This window comes from Homo sapiens, chromosome 4 (assembly GCF_000001405.40).
Source record: "Homo sapiens chromosome 4, GRCh38.p14 Primary Assembly".
NCBI classification, from domain to species: Eukaryota; Metazoa; Chordata; class Mammalia; order Primates; family Hominidae; genus Homo; species Homo sapiens.
Window position 1 is genome coordinate 53,491,597 of NC_000004.12, and position 8,390 is coordinate 53,499,986.

General features: G+C 45.2%; 1 protein-coding gene across 5 annotated transcripts in view; it reads right to left on the reverse strand.

Moving 5' to 3' along the window:
* Positions 1-8,390, reverse strand: part of LNX1 (ligand of numb-protein X 1) — a 193,177-nt gene that overhangs the window by 32,296 nt on the left and 152,491 nt on the right. For all 5 annotated transcript variants that reach the window (XM_005265785.6, NM_001126328.3, XM_024454262.2 and 2 more), the window contains 2 exons: positions 7,045-7,247; positions 4,427-4,798 (listed from right to left, as the gene is read on the reverse strand). In XM_005265785.6, coding sequence (XP_005265842.1) covers positions 4,427-4,798; positions 7,045-7,247 — 575 coding nt within the window. The remainder of the gene's footprint in view (positions 1-4,426; positions 4,799-7,044; positions 7,248-8,390) is intronic.

Sequence of the window (8,390 nt, forward strand, 5' to 3'; positions counted from 1 at the left end):
ATGGCACATGAAAGCAGATTTGGTGCTTCTTTGGTAAATGGTTTGATAACCAATCCCTAGGAGATAAAGTTAATGTATAAAATATATTTTATATACACATAGATGTTCATAATTTGACTCCATTTACTTATTTGGCAAATATTTATCAAGTGCCTACTATTGCCAGCCATTGCTTTAAGTGCTGAGGATACGATACTTTTTTTTGTTTGTTTGTTTTTTGAGAAAAGTTTCACTCTTTTTGCCCAGGCTGGAGTACAATGGCGCGATCTTGGCTCACTGCAACCTTCACCTCCCGGGTTCAAGTGATTCTTCTGCCAAGTAGCTGGGATCACAGGCGTGCGCCCCCACCCCTGGCTAATTTTGTATTTTTAGTAGAGATAGGATTTCACCCTGTTGACCAGGCTGGTCTCGAACTCCTGACCTCAGGTGACCCACCCGCCTCGGCCTCCCAAAATGCTGGGATTACAGGCATGAGCCACTGCGCTTGGCTGAGGATATAATACTTTACTTTACTGTCTGGCAGGTAATATTAGTTGGTAGTAATTGAAGAGTATTGTAGGATAAAGTGTATATGAGCAGAAATGGACACAATTCTTAGTAGAATTGACAGTGAAGAGCTCTCTGACAGTTGAGAGGAGACCTGAATGAACTGTGGGAATGCAGCAAATGGATATTTAGAAGATTCTTCCAGGCAGAGGAACAGCAAGAATGCCAGGCCTGAGGCAGAAATGCTTGAAGAGCACCAAGAAGGCAATGGGGCACATGGTTAAACATGGGGAGAATACTAAATATCCTCTTCTGTAAGAAATGAGGTTGGAGAGAGAACAGGCCACAAGACGTATGGCATTGCAGGCCATAGTAACGATCTGCAACTTTAACCTAAGTGTCTCAGGAGGCCTCAGAGGGCTCTGAGAGAGAGAGAGAGAGAGAGAGAGAGAGAGAGAGAGTGGCATCCTGACTGGAGTGGTTTGGTAAAGAGCTCATTCTCTCTGCTGTGCATAGAGTAGGAGAGAGATGATTAAGTGTGGAAGGCAGAAGGCCAGCAAAGAGGCTCCAGCCGTCACTCAGACCAGGTCAAAATGGGTTGGGGGAGCAAGACGCTGAGGTGAGTCAAAGTTCTTTTTGGTTCAAGTCACTGGGTAAATAGAGGTGCCATTTTTATAGACTAGGAATGGCCTAGGGGAGAGCACGTTGGGCAAGGGGTGGAATGGGAGGAGCCAAGGGTTCAGTTTTGGACATTAAGTTTGAGATGCCTTTGCCTTATCCACAGGAAGATATGAAGCAGGCATCTGGAGGTGCAAGTGTGGTCAGAGGAGAAGGTGAGGTGGGCACATGAATTTGGGAATAGATGGCATACACCTCAGAAGGAAAATGTCTCTTTGTTTATTTTTTGAGACAGAGTCTTGCTCTGTCTCCAGGCTGGAGTGCAGTGGTGCGATCTTGGCTCACTGAAACCTCCGCCTCCCGAGTTCAAGCAGTTCTCCTACCTCAGCCTCCCAAGTAGCTGGAATTACAGGTGCCTGCCACCACACCCAGCTAATTTTGTATTTTTAGTAGAGATGGGGTTTTACCATGTTGGCCAGGCTGGTCTCGAACTACTGACCTCATGATCTGCCTGCCTCGGCCTCCCAAAGTGCTGGAATTAAAGATGTGAGCCACCACACCCAGCCAGAAAATGCCTCTTCTAACTCTGGTTTTGTTCCCCACCTGCTCTACTTGGCATGAGCTCGGGCCCTCTAGGGCAGATGAGCATCCATGGGGGCCGAGAACCACCTTGGAACTGGGACACCACCAAGTGGCACAGCTCAAAAGCTAAGGTACCACGTGTGTTTTCTGCCCTGGTGGGCAGAGGGAGAAGGCTAAGTCCCCTTGTACCCTCTGCCTCAGGCTGCCCAGGTCTACAATGACAGTAATACCATCCAACACTTGGTCCTCTTCCACGAAGAGGGATAAGCTACTGTACAGGACAGTGCAGAGAGTTGCCAGCACCTACCTGAAAGAATCACATAACCAGATCTCAGGTGCAGGCAAATTTATTTGTGTTTAGATAACCAAGTCCTTGAAAGCAAACAGTCTTTTGATGATCACCCTCTGTGGAACTTGGTGCAGGGCTAGTCAGTTACTGCTGCTGACTTACTGCCTATTCTCAAAGTATGAAGACTTCAGTCACTAAGTGGAAGTTGACATAGACTTGCTGGATAATTGAGAATGCTTCTTAAGGCCGCTGGATCTTGCCCTTCTCTTTTCAGCTCTCCACTGACTTGAGAGAGATCATTCTAGAAGATCATGCCATTTCCTTTCCTAAACCCTTCCAAGAATGCCCCCGTGGCTTTGCGGATAAAGTCTGAGGTCCTTAGCATGGCTCGCAATATTTCACATGATCTGTCTCTTGCCTCGTCTATGGCTGCTTTTTAAAATACACACCCCAGGCTCCAGGTACTATTTATCATTTCCCTAATAGGCTGATATGGTTTGGCTGTGTCCCCACCCAAATCTCATCTTGAATTGTAGCTCCCATCATTCCCATGTGTTGTGGGAGGGACCCAGTGGGAGATAATTGAATCACGGGAGTGGTTTCCCCCATACCATTCTTGTGGTAGTAAGTCTCACAAGATCCAATGGTTTTATAAAGGTTTCCCCTTTTGCTTGACCCTCATTCTCTCTTGCCTGCTGCCATGTAAGACTGGCCTTTCACCTTCTGCCATGATTGTGAGGCCTCCCGAGCCATGTGGAACTGTGGATCCATTAAACCTCTTCTTTTTAAATTACCCAGCCTTGGGTATGTCTTTATCAGCAGCAAGAGAATGGACTAACACATGGGCTATTAAGGAAATGTTCTTTTGTCTTGTGTCTCCTTAGGATGACCCTTGCTGACTTGTACACTGGAGAACTCCAGCTCATTCCTCAAGCCCCAAGTTCAAGATCTTCCTCCTCTGAGGAATTCACAGGCCTAGTCAAGCAAAAATCTCCCCTGCGCCTGCATCAGCATCATACTTAATTTTTTCCATTGCAGCAGTGTTAGACTGCATGGGCAGTCATTTAGATAAAGTCCAGCTTTCCTGCCACACTGGAGGATCCTTTGGAAGAATAATCTAAGTGGTCCTCCCTCCAATTTCTGCATCTAACCCAGGGGTACATAAGCAGCAGAACTTAACAGATATTTGCTGGATGAAGTGAATGAATGGGTTAGAACATAAGAGCCCAGAACAAAGTCTATTCTTCCAAGAATAAAGCTCACAGCTTATGAAACGTCGCTGAGACACAAAACTATCAGAACATTATACCGGGTGAAAAAAGCCAGTCCCCCAAGTCCGTATATGATTTCATTTATATAACATTCTTGAAATTCAAAATTATAGAAATAGAAAACAGATTAGTTATTTCCAAGGGTTAAGGAGGACGTGGGGCGGGGAGGGAAATGGATGTGGCAATAGAAGGCAACTTTTATAGGGATCTTTGTGGTGATGGAAATCTTCTGTTATGACTGTTAATGTCAATAGCATGCTTGTGATGCCATACTATGGTTTTGCAAGATGTTAACACTAGGAAAAACAGTAACGAGACATGGGATCTCTCTGTATTATTTCTTACAATTACATATTAATTGATAATTATCTCAAAATACGAAGGTGAGTTACAATTGCATACTAATTGATAATTATCTTAAAATAAAAAAGCTAAAGAAAAAAAAATTTCAACAGTGACCCTGACGAAGTCAACAAAATACATACAGGTGCTTGATGACATTATACTGGTCAGAAAAGTGGATTAGTTTGAACAGTCATGAACTCTACTTGCCTGAGTGATCAAGAATTTGCGTCCCTCTCTTCTTAGGGGGCTTCCTCTCAGGTTCATACTTGGGTTTCCAAGTGCTTTCGAAGTCACCTGGACTTAGCCATGGAGACTAAGACTTACTCTGTCCATAGGATCCCTGGAGAATGCATGGCATAGCTTTTTTTTTTTTTAAGATGGGTCTTGCTCTATTGCTCAGGCTAGAGTGCAGTGGCACGATCTCAGCTCACTGCAACCTCCGCCTCCCAGTTTCAAGTGATTCTCCTGCCTCAGCCTCTTGAGTAGCTAGGATTACAGGCACCTGCCACCACACCTGGCTAATTTTTTGTATTTTTAGTAGAGATGGGGTTTCACCCTGTTGGCCAGGCTGGCCTTGAACTCCTGACCTCATGTGATACACCTGCCTCGGCCTCCCAAAGTGCTGGGATTACAGGCATGGGCCACCACGCCCAGCCGAGTAATGTTCTTACCTGGGCAGAAGCTTTGAAAATGTTGGTCTTTCCATCCTGACTCCTTGAAAGGGAGGCACTGCATGACACATGTGGTAGTGACAGGGTGCCTGGTTCAGGGGGATGTGCATTCTTGCTCATGTCCGGGGTTTCTGACTGGGATCCTGGAATGACCTCTGACTCACCTGAATCAGATGAGCCGCACTTTCTGGGCTGCCATATCGAAGATCATGTCCATTGATGGCTAACACACGGTCATTCTCCTCAAGCTGACCATGTCGATATGCCACACCGCCATCCAGCACATTGAAGATGAAAACCCCAGGCTCATCCACCTTGCGCACCAGTTTTATTCCAAGCTGCTCCTCGGGGCTACTTTTGTTGAGAATCACATGAAAGCTGTCATCTCGGGGTCTGTAGGCATCCGGGGCCTGTCCATTGTTCCTGCTGCGGAACTTCTGTTCACGCATCACAGTCAGCCACAGCACCTGGCAGGGCTGCCGCAGGAGACGCACAGCGTAGTTGTGAGGGACATTGCTGATGTCCATCCCGTTGACCTGGGGGCAGGTGGAACAATCGTGCGGTCAGCTCCACCTGCCACAACCCTTCCTGAAAGATCCAGGCCCACAGAAAAGCCAGGATCCTGTCTTTAAAGACTGCTCTGCTCTCCCACCTCATCCTGTGTCCAATAACCGCACCTTCCAACAGCGTTTCTAACCCTGTTCTCTCCAAGCGTGGCCTGCAGCACCTCTCCAGGCCTCTGTGAGTAGACACCATCTTTCTCCACCTTGTTCTTACCCAAGCCCACATATTTATTCCCAGAATCCTAGCCTTCATTTCTGTTGTCATTATTTTTTAGCTGGCAGGAAGAGAGGGAAGGAAGATAAGGTAGGAAAAGGCAAAAGAAAAGCATTTTTCCCATTTGCCTCAGTCAAATGATTGCATTAAACAGCTCTTCAAGCCGAGTTGACATTTTCTTCCCAAAAATCTCCAATTGAATTTTTCTCCCTGGGTCAACTCATACCAGAACTTCCAGTCCTCACCACTGTGTGTGTATGTAGATGTGATAGTGTGTGAGTGAGGGTCTGAGTGTGTGAGCACGATGGAGTGTATGTGCGTGTGATACTGTGTGTGTGCGGATGGGAATGTGTCAGGTCTCAGGGTGGTCCCCTGCAAGGTTTTTTTGCCCATGTTCTCAGCAAAAGGAAGAAATCCTTGCACAGTTTCAGACAAACTGATATGAAAGGAAGTTTCCAGGCTCTTTTATTGAAAGGCTAGATCTCTTTATAAAGCTACTTAAACAAGCTTAAGCTCGGCCCTCTCATTTGTGCCTCACTAATGATGTGTAGGGCTGATACTGCATGGGGCTTTCTGGTTTTAATTTCTCTGGCTACACAGGCCCAGCCAGAGCCCCCTATGTTGGAAGAAAACAATTTCGCAGCAATTGCTGCACTCTGTGTTTGAGGAAAGAGGCCCCATGGAGGAGAAATAACTTTCTTGAATTTCTGTAGTTTGATAAGATTTCTTGTATTTGCAGCCAATTGTTAGAGAAGGCTTGGAATGGGCTTTACAAAGGCCTTTCTTGAGGATATAATCACCTGTTCTCTGGTGCAGCTCCAGAGGCTCCCTCATGCAAAGGCAAAGCTCACCACCTTTGTCCAAGCACAGGTGAGGAGAGCACCTGAGGTGGCAGGGCCGGGTTCCCCCATCACCTCTGGGCCCAGAGAAGGTCAGGGGAGTCAGGGTTGCCTGCTAAATAGTCCTGGCAGCCCTTTTGTTTGTAAGCTCCAGTTGAAGGCCACAAGAATCAAAATGTTTTGTTATGCAACCCTGCCAGGCAGCATAGTTTCCACTAGAACTGGGAGGCAGCAGTGCACAGTGTAGCTGATTGTACTGCGGCCTGCCCCGAGGGCCCTGTCTTATGCTCCACCTCGGAGGCCAGCAGGAATTTCAGTATTTCTGTGAAAACTGCTTTAGGTTATTTCTCCTCTTATTCCAATCAGTTTGCCAAAGAAACAGCTCATAATGTGACAGGAGCCGGTCCCTCAGCAACCTAGAAGGGATGGGATAGAACTGTTATCTGAGTGTCAGATAGAAAATATACGAGCAGGGAGGGGTTTCTTGGCACTTTTGGCAAACATTGGACTTCTGCCTGGTAAACAGATCTTTTTATCCTTTCTGTTCTGAAAATTCCTCCTTCTCCTTAACCAAGCCTCTGAGGACAGTAACACCCAAAGCATTCTATTCCAACACCTGTCTCCCCTGGTATGTCTCTGGGTTGGTGGAATTAGCATAGAGATTACTTTTATTTTCAGGGAGGGCCGTAAGACTATAGGAAATTGACTTTCAAAAAGTAGATGATTGTGATTAAATAAAATACAAAATGTTCTATTAATCTACTCTAAAAACAATTTAAGAAAATATATGTCCCAGTTTTATTTTATATTAATGCTCTTTAAAAAAAGAGATAAAAGGAGAAAGAGGAGGTGGAGAAAGGGAATGAAGAGGAAGATTGAAAAAGCTAGAAGGGAGAAGGCAGAAGAGTGGACAGACAAAATGATATAGAGACAGATAAATATTTATATACAGAGAGAAAGGGGGGAGAGAGTGAAAGAGCAAGACAGAGAGAAACAAAGATCTCAATTAAATGACAAATCTCAGAGAGTCATAAAATGATAGAAAGTCACTATCCACATTTATTTTACCATTTCCCTCATTCATCCATCCATCTATCCAATTGTTTGCTCAGAAGCATTTTTTTATATCAAGCCCCTTGCTGCAGCCCCACAGCCACAGTCTCTACCTTTAGAATGATGTCTCCTGGCAGTAGCCGGCCGTCTCTGGCGATCACCCCATCACGATAAATGTGTTGGATAATGATATGGACCAGTGGGGTTTCGCTACCTCCCACCAGCCTAATAGAGAGGCTTTCACTGGGATCTACTCGATTGATCTTGATGCTGGTAATTTCACCATCTGGAATCAGGTGGTACAACCTTGGAAAGACTGAAATGGACAAAGAGTGTTTATTTAAGACACCCACCCAATGGACCTTTCCAACTACTCTTCTTGCCAAACTTCAGTGTCAGCCAAACTAAACTATTCATTTTTCCTCATACATGTTTTCCATTTTCCTGCCTCTGTGTCAATGTAAGTTTCTCTGCTTGGAATGTTTTTCATCCTGAGCTTAAACCCAATTTTTCCTTCAAGGCCCTTCCAATTAAACTCTACCCTGATTCCTCCTTCCCTTGCTCTAAACAGCCCACTTCCTATAAAGCTTTCTAGCTATTTCTCATGGCACTCAACCCATTATTGTTATTTTTACCTTTTTGTTTTTGTTTCTGTTTTTTGAGACAGGGTCTTACTCTGTTGCCCAGGCTGGAATGCAGTGTCTCACTACAACCTCCGCCTCCTGAGCTCAAGTGATCTTCCCACCTCAGCCTCCCAAGTAGCTAAGACTACAGGCACATGCCACCATTCCTGGCAAATTTTTACATTTTTTGTGGAGACGGAGTTTTGTCATGTTGTCCAGGCTGGTCTTGAAATCCTGAGCCCAGGTGATCCACCCACCTCGGCCTCCCAAAGTGCTGGGATTACAGGTGTGAGTCACCTCTCCCAGCTTATACTCATTTCTTATATACCTCATATCATGCCCATAAAACCTGAGGGCATAAACTCTCGCTGTTCCATGGTTCTCTGCATATATCTCTGCATGCAGAGGCCTTCAGCTGAAGTTTACTGAATTAATAGAAGTGAATGAATCATTTTTAATGGAATGAATTGCAGTTTTATCGCTTGCTTATTGAGAGGTAAAAAACAGAACCAATTTGCCACTTTGCCCTCTCAGATAATTTTGAAAATTTCTTCCTTAAAGACTCTGCTTTTCAGGCTTGGGGGAACATCAGTTCTTTCTACCAGACATTGTTGTTAACAAATGGAAGAGGCCTGATTCATGATCAAGAAGAGGCCAAGGCCTAGTTGGTGGCCTTGAGCAGTTCATCCCTGGTTTGCCTGAAATCACTGAGTTCAGAGCAAGGAGATTCAAAGATCATCTAGGCTGGTGTTTTCAAACTGTATTTTTAAACTGATGAATCTGCTTTCCCCAAGAAATCTCTCCTAGCTCTCTTCTCATCTTTCATCCCATTGTGA